Source organism: Homo sapiens, chromosome 20 (assembly GCF_000001405.40).
Source record: "Homo sapiens chromosome 20, GRCh38.p14 Primary Assembly".
NCBI classification, from domain to species: domain Eukaryota; kingdom Metazoa; phylum Chordata; class Mammalia; order Primates; family Hominidae; genus Homo; species Homo sapiens.
Window position 1 is genome coordinate 64,187,258 of NC_000020.11, and position 16,137 is coordinate 64,203,394.

Below are 16,137 nucleotides of genomic sequence, written 5' to 3' on the forward strand. Positions count from 1 at the left end.
CCTGTGGCCCCGGCATCCATGTTTCCGTGGAGAGTTTTCCTGTAGCACGTGGCTCCGGCATCCACGTTTCCGTGGAGAGTTTTCCTGTAGCCTGTGGCCCCGGCATCCACGTTTCCGTGGAGAGTTTTCCTGTGGCACGTGGCCCCGGCATCCACGTTTCTGTGGAGAGTTTTCCTGTGGCACGTGGCCCCGGCATCCACGTTTCCGTGGAGACTTTTCCTGTAGCCTGTGGCCCCGGCATCCACGTTTCCGTGGAGAGTTTTCCTGTGGCACGTGGCCCCGGCATGTTGTTTGGGTGCATGGGGACTTAATGTGCTGCTAGAGATGCTGATTGAGCAGAGCCTACAGACAGGAGAGCTTTGTCTGGGGTGGAGCCTACTGAGCCCATGGGGCAGGGTTTGGCCATACACAGGCCCCAGTAGGGGACCAAGAGGGCCACAGGAGAAGAACTGGCATACCTTACTGGGCTTCTAGTAGTGATAGCCGTTTGCTGCCAAGACATTTCCTAGGAGAGGGAGGCTATCATGTCAAGGTTGAGCCGGGTCCTCAGGCCCTTGTAAAGGAGGGTCTACGCTTGGGGGTTTGTGGTTACTTGTGTGCTCTGTACCCAGGGGTATGGTGCACAGGTTTCACCGGGTGCCATTCTGCTCTTTTGCCCAGAGAAGCTCAGCGGCTTTGCTGCCTCAGGGAGGCAGGAGTGGCTCTTTGGAGGAGCAGTTGATCCCCGGGATGCTAGTGCTCTGCCTGAGCAGATGTGGGGCCTCAGGGCCTCAGGACTTCAGAGCCCAGGGCTGACTGACCTAGGGACAGGAGTGTAAGGGATGTGGGCAACGAAGAATTCCACAGGGCTGTATTTCCAGACTCCCATGGGTGGGTGTGGGTGGAGAAGCCCCAGTGAGCTGGTTATCTCCCACCAAACAAAACTGGAGGTCCCTTTGCAGAGACTCTTGCAGTTCATGTCCACATGACTTCTCTGAGAAGCAGGAGAGACTCAGCGCAGAACTCAGGGGAGTCGCACTCGGGAGAGGCAGCGTCTCCTCTGGAGCACACAGACCTTATGTCCTTCCCTCCAGCTGTCAGCCAGACATGCCCCAGTTGTCTTGCATATATACATATGTAATGGTAACAAGGAATTCTGCTTGAGCCTTGCCAATCAGCCCAGTGAGCAGGTTTCTGCAGCATCTTGTCTCCTGGGATAGATACTCAGAAAGTGAACCCTGTGCACTTTGGGGCCTTGTCTCTCAGCTTCTGTTGACACATAAGAAAAGAGACACACAGAGGACCCCACGCCCCATCTTCAAAGTGTGAAGCACACTCCCCGGCTGATACGATTCTTGTCGATTCACTTACGGAATCTTCCAATATGCTTTTCCTCCCTATACCCCACATCCCTGTCACAGAGTTGAGAATTGGATTACCTGGTGGGCAGGTGGGCCCCAGTTAGAGGCCGCTCACACCGGCTCAGTGCAGATGACCAGTGGCAGATGGGAACCCAGGAGGCCTAGAGATCTTGGGTGATAGGGAAGCTCCCGCAGCTCCCTCCTCACTAGTCCAGGCACCGGAGCCTGCGGTGGGAGCCCTGTCATCTCAGCGACGGCCTGCGGGTGACTTACAGCTCAATGAGGGGAGGCACAGAGTAGGTGCACACAGTAGGTGCCGAATCTGAGTGGTTTTATTCGTTCCTCTGTAGACCTCGTATTAGGCTGTCTCCTTGACTACCAAATCTGCTTTCCTCTGTGTTTATGCTCTGGAAGGTAATCCGAAGCCCTTTAATGGGATGGAAGCATTTCCAGATAAGAAGAGGGTGCTGTGGCCAGAGGCACAGGGCTGCCTGGGGCCAGGAGTGGCCAGAACCCTAGAGAAGAATTGCATTTGGGGATGCACATCAAAAACACGAGGAAAAGAAAGAAAGTGGGTGGGAATAGCGTGCCTTCGGCAGAATCCAAACTCACTTCCAAGGCAAAGCCAGGGCCCAACACGAGAATATTCATTTCCTGTTTCATTGTTGGTTACTTAATGACCTTCCTTTGAAATGCTGCAGTTATGTAGAAAGCAGGTTGTCATGGAAACGGGGAGTGACGTGCAGGGAATAGGTACACAATGCGTTTCTTTGTCATGTCCAGCTGATGCGTTCAGCCTCTGCTCAGACATGGGAATTTATGTGAGGAATTAAATATTAACTGGAGGCATTGCCCTGGAGAGAGGCAGAAACACAGGGTGACAAAAGATGCTGGAAACCAGGGCAAAGAGCATGCTGGGGCCCCCGGGATCCTGCGGGAGGCAAAGCTGATTTGAGACCATGGGTGGATCTCACTTTCTTCAATCAATGGGCTCCAGAGAAGTCGTGCAAAACAATCTTCTTTTTCAAATGCATATGTACTGTGCATTCTTTTGAGGGGCAGAAGGATCTGGTTGTAATGCGAATAATTACTCATTAGTCAGCTCATTTTCAAAGTTGGAGGGGTGACATGCCAAGTTTTCTCAAGGTGGCTCTCAGCTGCCTTGTCCCAGCACTCTGCTGGCCGTGGTTGTCAGTGGGAACCAACACCTAGAGCTGGGACAACAGTGCAGGGGACTGCAGGAAGACTCCAGGGAGGCCCCAAGTCAGAGAGAAATTGTCTCTTGTTCCTGAAGCAGCCATGGAGCCATGACCTTGTCTGTTTCTCCGGTGGATTCCAGGAAATAGGCATTGAATATATGATGTTAAAAAAGTGCCTCAAGTTTCTCACTTTCTCCCCTTGAGCCAGCACGGCTGGCACCCACCAAGCTTTCCTTTTCTGACCTTGAACCTTTTTAAACCCTCAGAAAATGAGTTCCGAGGTGAGCTGTTAAATCAGAGGTGGACACACGGAGGCAAGGCCAGCAGCTGCAGGACCTCAAGACACCTGGGCAGACACTGCAAGGTGAGACGTGAGAGGGCAGCCCCTGTCGTAGGGCCCCACCCCATGGCTGCCTGCACAAAGCCTCTCTTCAGCTGCAGGCATGAAGCATGGAGGCGACTTTTGGTCTGATCCTCACCAGAGTCCGGGTTAGGTGAAGGGTAAATGGGGACTAGGATCAGCAATGATCCGGTCACTTTAAAATTAAGGGAAGAAAAATGACTCTGAGTAGATCAAAACTAAAATGTGACCCCAGGCTGGGCCCGGTGGCTCACACCTGTAATCCCAGCACTTTGGGAGGCTGAGGCAGGTGGATCACTTGAGGTCAAGAGTTCAAGACCAGCCTGGCCAACATGGTGAAACCCCGTCTTTACTAAAAACACAAAAATTAGCCGGGCATGGTGGCATGCGCCTGTAATCCCAGCTATTTGGGGGAGGATCCCAGCTAAGGTGGGAGGATCACTTGAGCCTGGGAAGTCAAGGCTGCAGTGAGCTGAGATTGTGCCACTGCACTCCAGCCTGGGTGCAGATCTTATCTCAGAAGTAAAGGGACTAGGAATGGTGGCTTTTATCTCTAATCCCAGCACTTTGGGAGGCTGAGGCAGGTGGATCACTTGAGGTCAAGAGTTCAAGACCAGCCTGGCCAACATGGTGAAACCCCGTCTTTACTAAAAACACAAAAATTAGCCGGGCATGGTGGCATGCGCCTGTAATCCCAGCTACTGGGGAGGCTGAGGCAGGAGAATCACTTGAACCTGGGAGGCAGAGGTTGCAGTGACCCAAGATTGTGCCACTGCACTCCAGCCTGGGTGACAGAGCAAGACTCCATCTCAGAAAACAAGCAAGCAAGCAAACAAAAAAAACCCACCAAAATGAAAATGTGACCCCAGAGTCTCACTTCCTTGCTTTGAGGTGTGACCACGTCTGGGCTCTGTGATAGGCCTGAGCAACTGTTCTCTATTCACCCTGCTTTTACCTGGCCAGGCTGAGAATCCCTACAGGATCTGACAGCAGAGATTGCTGGCAGGAGCTTATGAAGTCTGTTGGCCTTGTTTTATTTCGATCTTCCTAAGGGGAGGCAGATGGTGCAAGCCCTTCTTATACCTTCCCAGGGTATAAGATCTCCCTTCGGGGACACTCCCGAACTGTGACATCACATGTGCTTACAGCCACTGTTCTCCACCACCAACCCTCTAATTCTAGAACTTCCCACCAATACTCTCTGGATGAGGCCAGGTCCCCAGGGTCAGGTGACCCTCACAGCTGGAAGTAGAGGCTGACAATAGGCTTAGGCTGAAGCCCTTCCCAGAGATCCGATTCTGACCTCTCTTTTTTCTTTTTTGCATGTAGATGCTCTCCAGCAAGGATCCAGCTGTGACTCAGGGCATGGCTCAAGGACAGTGATGGCGTAGGGTGTAGGCAAGGAGGGCTATGCAGTTGTAGTGGGAACTTCATTTGGGGGTGCTTGTGTTTTACTCTCAAAACCCAACCTTTTTCTTTTGAATCTGGTGGCGAGAATGTACATTTTAATGGGTCTGTTATAGACAACTTGCTGAGCACCTCCGCTCATATTTTGGCTCCCGCAGGATTATCAGTGCTCTGCTGATCCATGTTGGAGCCTGGGGCACAAGGAAGAGTCAGTAATATGGATCCTGTCTTTATTTAAGGTTTTGGTATCTTGTTTATTAGGGGTTTTTTGCATCATGTTGATGTTTCTAAATATTGAATTAAAATATTATTTATCTTGATCATTGAGTTTTTGGCCTCATTCCCCTCACCCTACCCCAGATCCTGAGGATTCACATAGCGCTGTACTGGCATGAGATCATGTGAGCATGAACGTTACTTGACTTGAGGCCAGGGGCTCTGCATGCAGCGTTATCTACAAATGTCTGGTGCCATGTCAGGGGTGGGTCGGAAGACTTTTGTCTCCCCCTGGCCCAGACATGACAAACTCAGAGAGTTTGGGACCTACCATGACAACCCATGGCTGTTCAAAGTGCTGCTTCTGTGAACAAAGCCAGGGACCCGTGCCCAGGTTCTCGTGGCATCACCAGCTCTTTCATCACTGCTCTGTTTGAGGGTCATTTCCCTTCTTTTCTTGCAGATAGGGCCGAGTGACTGCTCTGAATAGAGAAGCTAAGATGAAAAGTGTGCCAGAGAAGGCGAGAGGATGAGAAAGGGTCGACTGCCTAGAGGACAGTGGGGCAGCAGGTGCAAGTAGAATCTCCTGACTAAGAGGCTGAGGAGGGTGGCAGCAGAGGGCATAAGCCGTGGTCACAGTGTGAGAATGTCACACAGCCACAGCAGCATCGGGGTCAGCCTTCCAGAGGCTGGCTTCGGACAGGAGATGGGTGGTGAGGAGCCAGCATGGGAGGGCAGTGAACACACAAACCCTGTGCATGGGACCGTCACAGCCTGCGGCGTGCCTCTGAGTTCAGCACCAGGCATGTGGACAGCTCAGGACCGGTTGGAAGGGGCTGCCAGAAGTCAGGTGGTCGTGTGTCGGGGTATGCAGGAGCTGATGGTAGCTCCTCAACCCCCTTCTTGCCAAATATTCAGAGATATGGAATCAAGGAAAAGATCAGTTGCATGGCCATTCAGCCAACCCTTCTTCCTGCCACCCAGGGCAGGAGGTGCCTCTGGCAAGGACTACTGGACAGAGGCTCCTGCAAGGGAAGGAGCTGCCACTGGGTATGGCCCTTCTGGCCTCTCTTTATGTTGTTGGATTCTACCCTGGGTGGGTATAAATTCCATTTATGCTGGAGTTTTTAACAGACGGTTGCAGATATGGCTGCTTCATCAGGGTATCCATTATGTAGCTCTAATTTTTGATTTGGGAATGAAGTGAGCCAGTATCCCATGCTTAGAGCTGTCAAGAGAACCCCTTCTCAGACATGTGTTAAATAATGCCCCATGGAGGTGTCCTTTCTATACCCCAAGGAGGAGGCTGGTCTATTCTGCTGAATTTGTTGGGAGAATTTCAGAATTTCAGACATGCAACAGGACATCACCCAATGTGAGGACAGAACTATCTCTGCAAGGAACCAAGGGTACTGTGATGGCTGCCAGTGGGGATCAGGGGTGAGGGCATATGGTTTAGCCTCAGAGATCAAGAGAGTGGAAAGCAGGATGTGTGCTGAGGTCACCGACTTTCTATATCTGTTCTGTGGGCTGAGCTGGCAGGCAGGTCCATGCACCAAAGAAAGGGAAGGGGAGGGCTGTGGATGCAGCAGAAGATCCTCCTGGGATACTCGGGAGGGGAGCAACACAAATGCTTGAATGCTGCTCTTAGATCGTTGAGTGGGAGCTTGGATCTTCCACAATACTGTCTGCTGTAATGGCTTCACAGCAGTGACAGGGAAGTTGATGCTGCCCTCAGTACATAAATGAGAGAAGAAAACAGGCCAGACCATGGCTCTGTCTTTCTCCCCTCCCCTCACTGCAGAGAAGTGAGACTGAATGTGGTGTGAGGTACTGCTGGAGCCAGGCAGGGTAGGGGACAGCCAGTTTCTGGCCACCTCCTCACCCCCCACTCTTCACTGGCCCCTTCCTTCTGGGAAGTGGCTGCCTATGGTCCGCTGGGACTCAGCAGGTGCTCTTCCTCTTCTTCTAGGTCTCTGGGAGGAAAACCATTATGCAAGAGGCTCAACCGTCCCACCGAGACACTATAACCTATGTAATTTTATGGATTTTTAAAGAATAGTTGTAAGTCCATTCTAATTCTCCAGATTTGCTGGCTGTCAGAACACATTTTAAATAAAATAAAACACTACCGTGTCTCCTTCTCTGGCCCAGCGCTGGGGTGAATGGCCCCCGTGGTGTCAGAATGCCCGGAACCCCCCAGCTCAGCGTTCCCACATATGGCCTCTCTGCAGCCCCTCTGACCACGGCTCTCCACACACCCCAGCCCCAGGGTTTCAGAGATGTTTCTGACTGTCCCCATTTATTCATTCATCCACCTGTCCATCCACCCATCCTTAAATGACATGCACTAAGCAGCTGTCTGGAGGAGAGACAATGACCTTACAACCATGAATGAATGAGCTCATTTCAGATTGAGATGAGGACTGTGAGGGAAACAAACAGGCACAAGGTGGAGACTGAGAGGAGCTGGGAAGAGGCAGGGTGCTGGCCACCTAAGAATGCTCCCAGCTCTACCTCTGGAGTGCCTCCCACCCCAGATGTCCTCAGGTCACTGATCCATTCACCCTCCCCATCCCTACCTGGCTCTCAACCCTTAGCAGAGCTCTCTGTTTCTTGAACTCTCCCCTGAGCACTCCCTGCCTCCCTGGGGTGATGTACAAATCTTGGAATGCCAGGCTGGTGCCCCTCAGGGCCAGAACAGCTCCTGCTGGGGCCAGGACACCCTCCTGCTGGGGCCAGGCTTCAGCCAGGATTCTGTCCTTTGACTGGCCCTGGGCCATTGGTGCAGAAGGGATGTGATGGGGGTTGAGGGAGGAAGCTGTTCAGCTCTGAGGGCCCTGTCCTGGGAGGAAGCATGAAAAAGGAATGAAAGAGGCAGAGAGAGACAGAGAGGGAGTCCGTGAGTGAGTGAGGAGAAATGGGTAACCCTGAGCTGGGGCCCGGGAAGGAGTGGGGAGACGCAGCCTCTGGGGGCAAAGGTGGAAGTTGGCACAAAGCCCGTTGGGCTTCATGGAAAATCTCCAACCCTGATATCTTTGGAAGCTGAGTCTACCATTTCCCCTTAGAGGTTAGACACGAGTGGTTTGTTACTGGCTATGTGTCTGGGTTCTTTTCATTTTTTATTTTTTTTGAGACGGAGTCTTGCTCTGTCACCCAGGCTGGAGTGCAGTGGCGTGTTCTCAGCTCACCTCAACCTTTGCCTCGGGGGTTCAGGTGATTCTCCTGCCTCAGCCTCCCAGGTAGCTGGGACTACAGGCGGCCGCCACCACACCCGGCTAATTTTTGTATTTTTAGTAGAGTCAGGTTTCACCATGCCTGCCTCGGCCTCCCAAAGTGCTGGGATTACAGGCGTGAGCCACCATGCCCGGCCCTGTTTCTGGGTTCTGAGTGGATTTGTTACAGCTGCAGCCTCAGCGCAGATCCCTCTAGGTTTCAAGATTGCTTACTGCATTGGCTTGTTTTGGTTCCTGAGTTTGTAAACACCCAACTCAGGGCACTCTGTTTTGGCCAGGCCAGCATGCAGATGAGTCTGGAAAAGGGGCTGGTCTTCGTACCATGTCATGGTGAGAACTGTGTGTGTGTGTGTGTGTGTGTGTGTGTGTGTGTGTGTGTGTATACTTTTTTTTTTTTGAGACGGAGTCTCACTCTGTCGCCTAGGCTGGAGTGCAGTGGTGCAATCTCAGCTCACTGCAACCTCCACCTCCTGGGTTCAAGTGATCCTCCTGCCTCAGCCTCCCAAGTAGCTGAGACTACAGGCGTGCACCACCACACCCAACTAATTTTTGTATTTTCAGTAGAGATGGGGTTTCACCCTGTTGGCCAGGCTTGTCATGAACTCCTGACCTCAAGTGATCCACCCGCCTCAGCCTCTTAAAGTGCTGGGATTACAGACGTGAGCCACCGTGCCCAGCCAGAACCATGTATATTTTCAAAAGAGCTTACATGATTAATCCTGACTTTACTAAACAGAAATATAAAACAGAACAAAGCAAAAACACACTTTTGAGGAGACTGCTTTTATATGGCACTAAGAAAGCAAGTTAAATGGATGGACAAAGAGACAGTTCTCTTGGGTTAATTTGGCAATATACAATGTATTTGCATTTATGAATTATTCTCCTCCCCACAGTTTTCATGGTTTTCCTATCGAAGGCAGAACTATTGAAATATTAATTAGAGCCTCAAGACATGCTCGCAGTGGCAGAATGAAGCTGGCATTTGGAGAAACAGAGCAGACGTTCTTGAGAAAGGTTGCCGGCCCAGCAGTAAGAGTGGGTGATGGGGTCGTTCTGCCTTTTCACTCTCAAGGGGAGAGGTCACCGGGCTATCTGTGGGTTGCGCAAAAAAGGGACCTGGTTGGCTTGTGTTTGGAACAAGTAAAGTGTGTTTTAAAAATCAATGAAAAATTGAGAAGTGTTTAATTTTCTTTGCATCATTGAGCTGCCCTTTAGGGCCCAGCTGTCATTGTGTGGTGGGGGCAGAAGGTCTGGGGGGCTGCCGTCCAGGGATCACCAAGGTGAGCCTGGGTGGTGCTGGGCACAGGGCCGCCCCCAGCACCCGCTCTCCATCTACCACATCGTGGTGCCGATCTTGCGGCAGGAGGAGAGCAGAGAACTCACCTCTGAAGTGCTTTGACTTCTTTCGAAAAGAAAAGTGATGTAAATCAAGCAGTGCTGGTTTTGTCCAGATGCTTTCGCGTCAGCCGGCACTGCTGATTTCAAATAGCTCAGAAACCAGTGTCCCAAGTCACCCAGCTCTTACGGGTTCATTCTCGTATTAAAGAGCCTGGTTTATTTTTTCTTCGGTAGTTCAGTTTTTTTCCCTTTAAAAATCAAAGCTACACGCTCCTAAGAGAACTTCTCGCTTATTGACCAGTCAATGCAGATAAATTGCAAATGGTAAAAAGGTGCTCAGCAGAAGGAGCGGCAGAGCTGTCAGCTTCATCAACGGGAGCTCACAGTTTTCAAGCAGTGCCCATTACACATCCCTGCAACCCTCTCTATTCTCTGCTCTTTGAATAATTTATCTGCAGGAAATCCAAATTGCCAAGGCACGCTTTAACCTAGCAGAATGCTTGCCAATATCCTTGGGAAAACTGGCAATAAATAAATAAATAAATAAAGCCGTAGATTGCATTTCAGCTGAGTGCAGGCACCGCACAAGTCCCATTGTACGTCCTGCATCGGAAGGCATTGCACACGGGCTCAGAGCAGACGACATTTGAAGGCTCATAAATGTAATGAAGTCCCTGTGACACCTGCTCCTCTATTCACTTTAAATGTGAGCCATTTGTCCATGGGGAACCTCCGCTTTAAAAATAGAAATTGTAGTAATTGTCTTCCGTTCTATTGGAAGGCTGTAATAAACGCACGGCTCACAGCACTGTGCTCCACAGCCTGGAGTCGGCAGGTTGCATAAATTACCCAGGTTTTGATTTTTCTTCCTTAACAAATCACATACATCATTGTATGTTAGTGCTGCTGCATGGGGGAGGTTCAATTTGCAAATTTCATCTTACTAATTGGGGGAATTCCTTTTTCTTTCTTCCCAGGTGGTTCTGTAGACATTTGTCTCTTTTTCTGGCTTTCAGGAGCAAAAGCCCCATTTAAGACGTGGGGGCTTCTGAGCCCCCTCCTGCTGCCTCTCTTCCTTTCTTCTGCTACTTCTTTCCACTCCCCTGCTTTCCCTTTGACTACCTCACGCATAGAGCCCTGGCAGCTCTGGTGTCTGTGGCCTGGGACAGGTGTGGATTTGCTGCCTCCCCTTCCTGACCACAGGTGATGGTGGTGGAGTCCAGTGCTCTCCTCTTGGGCCTCCCCTGTCCGGCTAGAGGTGCCCTCCCCCGCCTGGTGTGGCTCCCCGGGAAGGATGTTTTGCATAGCATGGAGTGTGTAGGATTTACTTGCCTGCCCAGATTTGTCATGAGTGACACAGGACAAGGATGCTGTGTGTGACCCTCACCACTGCCCCACATGTCCTTTCTGTGATTGTCACCCTCCTGGGGGCTCCCCCATGACTCCCTCGCCGGACAATGCTGTGGGCAGTGTCCCCACAGAGGGTGGTCAGATTCAAGGATCACAGGTGGGGAGGGACACCGATAGGCTCAGGCAAGGCAGCCAGGCCCTCGAGGCCTGGAGAACATATGGGCTGGGGCCGCTCCAGGTTGCCTGTTTCTCACGGGATGACCCTGGTGCGTGAGGGGCATTAAAGCCTTCTGCTGGGCCGGGCGCGGTGGCTCACGCCTGTAATCCCAGCACTTTGGGAGGCCGAGACGGGCGGATCACGAGGTCAGGAGATCGAGACCGTCCTGGCTAACACGGTGAAACCCCGTCTCTACTAAAAAAATACAAAAAATTAGCCGGGCGTGGTAGCGGGCGCCTGTAGTCCCAGCTACTCGGGAGGCTGAGGCAGGAGAATGGCGTGAACCCGGGAGGCGGAGCTTGCAGTGAGCCGAGATCGCGCCACTGCACTCCAGCCTGGGCGACAGAGCGAGACTCCGTCTCAAAAAAAAAAAAAAAAAAAAAAAAAAAGCCTTCTGCTGTAGTGGGAAGAAAGGGCCCATGGGAAGCTGTGCTCTGGGGACACGTTGGGGTCAGAAGCCACTGGACGACCCAGCACTGCCGCTGGTGGCTGAGTCTGTGGTGAGCGACCTGCCCTGATGCCTCAGCACCTGCCTGACCAGGTGAGCAGTGGGTGCTGCTCTGTGTCGGGCCAGGAGACCCTCTTGGATAACATACGGACATTCATCAGGCTTCAGTGGCGCAGGGCCCATGCCTCAGCACTTGTTGGCAGGTGCAAACCTGGGGGCACGGTGCACTGTACCCTCCTTGCCAAGGCCGGGGACATGCTGATGGGACACTTCCAAGCCTTGTAGAAGGTCCTTTCTCTACACCCTCCCACCTGCTGCTCCTGGCCCCAGGCCTTTCTTGTCCTGTGAGCCCATCCTTGTCATTCTGTGCCCAAAATCACCTTTGCTGTCAAAGCTTGAGCCAGAAAATGGCCAGACATTCCTGATGGCTCTGTACTCCAGAGGCACTGGCTGGGTTTTCTTGTTAACGTCGTGGTTTTTTGCTTGCAGATGAGCTTAGAAAATGAAGACAAGCGAGCTCGCACCCGATCCAAGGCCCTGCGAGGTGAGTGCCGCCCTCCCCTCCTCCAGGGCTGTAAATGCCACTTTCCTCCGCGGTCTTCCTCAGGAGCACAAACCCCTAACCACACATGTGCAGAGATGCCCTGGGGACCTCAGGCCTCTTCAGCCTCATTCATCCTCAGGGCTGCTGAGCTTTGAAGCTGGCATCTAAGAGGGCTGCTGAGGGGCCTTTGGCCCAGATGAACCTGCCTTGAGGGCAGAAATGTTGAGGTAGACCCAGCTCCATGGAGTGGGAGTAGCAAGGCTCAGTTACGAGACCATTCTGTTTGGAAATGAGAGGCCGCCAGCCTTCCACCGCCAGCCCCCTTCCTTCCCAGGCGATCAGTCTTGGTGCTAATGGGGCATAGGAGGTTGTTGGGTTGAGCTGGAAGTGCAGTGGGAGGAGAGGAGGCTGACTCTGTTAGGATCTGAGCCCCAACCCCTGGCCAGACTTACCTCCCTGATACGGGCGGGGGCTTCCTCTTGTGCCCAAGCATCTCAGGTGTGCCTGCCCCGGTCAGAGCCCCGTGCATCTTGGCAGCCATCACTGAAGGACCAGTAACTCGGTCCAGTTGTTCTCTTCTCTGTCCAGCTTGATCTGGTGGTTTGTGTTTCCTGCCAAAAGCTGACTTCTATCTGCAATTAGAGAAAGAGATACCATCCCTGGCCCTGAGGTCCCAGAGATCCTGTCTGAGGTGGAGCATCTGTCCCACTTTGTAAAACTGCCAGGCTGCTCAGGGGAGCTTCTGCGGCGAGCACCAGGCTTGGGGGAGCAGCTCACTCTGTTGACCTTGGAGGACTCTCTGGGAGGTCAGGAAAGGGTGAGCGCCCTGGGGAAACGGCTCAGGTCTCACTGAGATTTGCCTCCACTCGTCCTTGGCAAACCTCTCGGCTGTTTAACTTAGTTTATGCTGTTAGGGCAATGAGCCTTTAAAATCACAATTCCCACATGTTTTCCCTGTTTCTGTCTTTTTCCCAGGACCCCCAGAGACCACAGCTGCAGACCTCAGGTAAGGAAGTCTTCCTGTTAGCACCAAGCATCGTCTATGTGCCTGTGACCCTGGAGATATCCTAAATGTCCCAAACGGGGTCTTCTTGGATTGACCAAACACCCCTGGTGAGCCCCTGCTTTCCCTAAGGAGACTGCCTTTCTCCTGGCCACGTGTCCAGCTATCTTGGCCCCATCTCTATCTGTTCTCACCTCTGTCCTGGCCCCATCATGTGGCGCACCAGCATCATGGCAAGGACACGGATGTGCCTACACCTGGTCACCACGAGGACCTGGACTGTCACTGCGGTCCCCCAAACCGAAAACAAGCCGCTCTCTTACCGGACCCTCACAAGTGCTTCTGTGTCAGATGGTTGGAGGCCCAGTTCGGGGATGAGATGAGAGAAGGGGTCTTCTACATCCTGAGTCTTCCATTGGCTCGGGATGCAAACAGCAGTTCTGTGTGCTGATGACCCGGCTGGCTGAGCTCTGTGACCGTTTCCTTCCTGCTTCTCAGGGATACAGATTCTCAGGGCAGGGACCATCTTACTGTTCAGCATACAATTGAAGAGTGGATGGCTTCTGCCAATCAGGAAAATGAGAGGACTGCAAAGTTCACTTTGTAAACCTTTTGCAGAGGTGGGACAGGAAGACAGTGTCCCTCTGACACTTGAGGCCCCGTAACTTGGAGATGAAGGGGGAGGACTACGGGAGGGAGTTGGGGTGCTGCAAGCCCCAGGCTCTGCGTCAGTCACACATCACAGTCTTGATCTCTGGGAAGGTCATGGAAGCACTGCCTGGTGATGTTATTATCCTGTTTGTGAAGTGGGGAAACGGACTCAGGGGTTAACCTTCATCTAACCAGAAGAGCTGAATCGCATGTGCTACTTGCTGGAAGCCCCACCCTGGGTAACAGGTGGGAGGGGTGGGGTGGAAGCTCAGCCAAACAGGTCGTGTGCCAGCACTTCCGGTCTGGGGTCCTCAGCATCACACCGGGTGCTCCCCAGAACACAGTCCCCGGAAGCACAGGGGTCGGCTCCCTGGAAGGGAGACATTGCCTGCTTGGCCAGCCTGCTGAAGAAGCGGTGATTGCGACGGCGAGAGATGCTCAGAAGGACCCCGAGTAAAGGGAAGAGGAGGTGCCACGTGGAGTCGCCCAGGGACACGGTGGAGACAAAGACGGAGGAGAATCCCAGGCGAGGGTGCAGTGAGTGAGGCACAGGAGTTGAGGAAACTCCAGGCTTTTTTGGTAACAGATGGAGTGTGGAGGAAGTCGAAAAGGCAAATACAAATGGCAGGGTGCTCTCTTGTAGCTTTGAAACAGCAGAAGGAAAAGTGACTCTCAAATAGATTTGTTCGTTTTTAAACATTCTGAGAGGACCTGTCCAGTCTAAGTGAGGGGTTCTGTGAGCATTTGGATTTTGACGCCCTCATCATGAGCCTTGTGGTCTCAACTGACATATTTGGTAATAGTGAGACCCTTAAACTTTTTAATGGAGAAACTAGGGGAAATGTGTTGACATCTAGTGTTCCAACAATAATTTCTTCAGCAATTCTTCATTGCTAACATGCAATGTGATGCTTAGAGTAAAATAGGACAAAGATTATGTTCCAAGGAATCAAATACATTCTGCACGGAAGGTACCATTCATTCCTGTATTCTCAAACATCTGTTGGCCACACGCTTCACGTGGGCATGCCTGTGGCTCGTGCTGGCTGACTGCGTGCCCCAGCCATCGTGGGAGCATTTACACCACAGAAATGGACTGATGATGTTCCCCCTCCCAGAGACCTGTTTACCAGCACACGCTGGGCTCTGACCGGACAAGCAGACGAGACCTCTGTCCTGGTGGGGGCCACACCGTGGGTACCAGAACAGGAAGCATGACCCACGCAGAAAACGCACCGTTGTGGTCTGTGAGAGGAGCATCGCGTCCTGTGTGCAGACCATGGCACTGGATGAGCTCACAGACACAGAGTCACCTGTCGGGAACCCCCGTGTGTCGGGAACCCCCGCGTGTCGGGAACCCCCGCGTGTCGGGAACCTCTGCGTGTCGGGAACCCCCGCGTGTCGGGAACCCCCGCGTGTCGGGAACCCCCGCGTGTCGGGAACCCCTCGCGTGTCGGGAACCCCCGCGTGTCGGGAACCTCTGCGTGTCGGGAACCCCTGTGTGCAGGACTTTCTCTGTGGATGACTTAACACTGCATTGGCTCAGAACTTCACAGCCTGCAGTGCCCCTAACCCCAGCTCGCCTCCCCACCAGCTCAGGCAGAGCTCCCAGGAAGACAGTCCATTGGTTGTTTACCAGGTGAGCTGAGGAGAGGTTGGACTTGGATCGAGCAGGACCCTGAGCTGCTATTTCCGACCTCGGAGCCCACTGGGAGTGCCTGAGCGAAGAAGCAGTTTGATGGTTTTTCCTTTCACCCCATCGGGAGAACTGATGACGTTTCAGCTTGTATTTTTGCCTGGGTCCATCTGTTGTCACATGGCCTCAGACTGGCTCTGCCAGAGGCGAAGACTAGGGAAGGTTAGGGTTGGGGTTAGCATCTTTGAGACAGCGAGGCGCTGACAACACCGAGTTCAGGACCATCTCCAAGTTCAGAGAGAGAACACGTCTGTAGCTCACCCTTCTTCTTCTGGCGCCTTCCTCCTTGAGCCACTGGCCAACTCCCACCCAGATGACTGCCCCAGGAGAGGGAGGGAAGGCAGGGAAGGCAGTGTCTTCAAAGGCTAGTAGCTGAAGCATGGGGCTCCAGGCTGGGATTCAGTTCCTCTCCTGACTTGTCTCCTTTGACGCCTACTTTTCAAGTTTGGGTCCCTCAGAGCTGTCATGCAGGATGCCAGCTGAGGGGTGACTGTGGGCCACACCCTCTTCCCAGCCTCACGTGCATCCTTTCCTCACATCTCTGACACCAGCCCTAGTCAGAGCTGGGGAGTCAAGGCTGGGGAATTCCCTCCTCCCGGAGAAAAGAGGCTCGGGAGTCCTGGAGCCCTGGCCGTCTTCCTCTCCCTACAACTCTGGCCCTGAGCACCCAGAGGACATCAGGAAATAAGAGCTGAGTGTGCTTGCAGGTGAACTGCAGGGCTGGCATCTGCTGGCACGACACCCTTGGAGGCCCTGGCTGGGTCTCTTGTCCACTCGGCTGTGGGGTGGGGAGCAGGCATCTAAGGGGTTTCCAGCTTCCTGTCCCCGAGCGGCCTTGTCCGCTCCACGCACTTGGGCTCACAGCCGTGTCTCACACCCTCTGAGGCTGGGGCCGGAAGGTGCAGGCCCACCTTCCTGGGGACCAGGACTCTTCTGAGCTGAGGGTGACGTGTTCAGGGCAGTCCGGTCCCCACAGGCCTCCACAGCAGCTGTCACCTAATTGCCTGATTCACTCAGTGATGTCATCGGCTAATTGGGACCTTAGCTTCAAATCCCCATTAACAAGGAGCTTTTTTGTGAAAAGTCCCAAAGCTAGTTCTCCAAAGAGTGAAAGCAAGTGTGGGCCTG

The 16,137-nt window shown here is 53.0% G+C and overlaps 1 protein-coding gene across 1 annotated transcript in view, besides 2 other annotated features; it reads left to right on the top strand.

The window, feature by feature from the left end:
• Nucleotides 1-16,137, top strand: part of MYT1 (myelin transcription factor 1) — a 77,802-nt gene that overhangs the window by 22,806 nt on the left and 38,859 nt on the right. The window contains exons 2-4 of the mRNA NM_004535.3: nt 2,806-2,903; nt 11,605-11,659; nt 12,635-12,665. Of these exons, the coding sequence (NP_004526.1) occupies nt 11,605-11,659; nt 12,635-12,665 (86 nt within the window). The 5' untranslated portion in view covers nt 2,806-2,903. The remainder of the gene's footprint in view (nt 1-2,805; nt 2,904-11,604; nt 11,660-12,634; nt 12,666-16,137) is intronic.
• Nucleotides 535-1,472: an enhancer, noted in NCBI's record as "H3K27ac-H3K4me1 hESC enhancer chr20:62819145-62820082 (GRCh37/hg19 assembly coordinates)". NCBI's record gives its function as "activates a minimal SCP1, AML or CMV promoter by ChIP-STARR-seq in primed H9 embryonic stem cells {active_cell/tissue: H9 hESC(primed)}" and the evidence as "EXISTENCE:reporter gene assay evidence [ECO:0000049][PMID:30033119]".
• Nucleotides 1,473-2,410: an enhancer, noted in NCBI's record as "NANOG-H3K27ac-H3K4me1 hESC enhancer chr20:62820083-62821020 (GRCh37/hg19 assembly coordinates)". NCBI's record gives its function as "activates a minimal SCP1, AML or CMV promoter by ChIP-STARR-seq in naive and primed H9 embryonic stem cells {active_cell/tissue: H9 hESC(naive and primed)}" and the evidence as "EXISTENCE:reporter gene assay evidence [ECO:0000049][PMID:30033119]".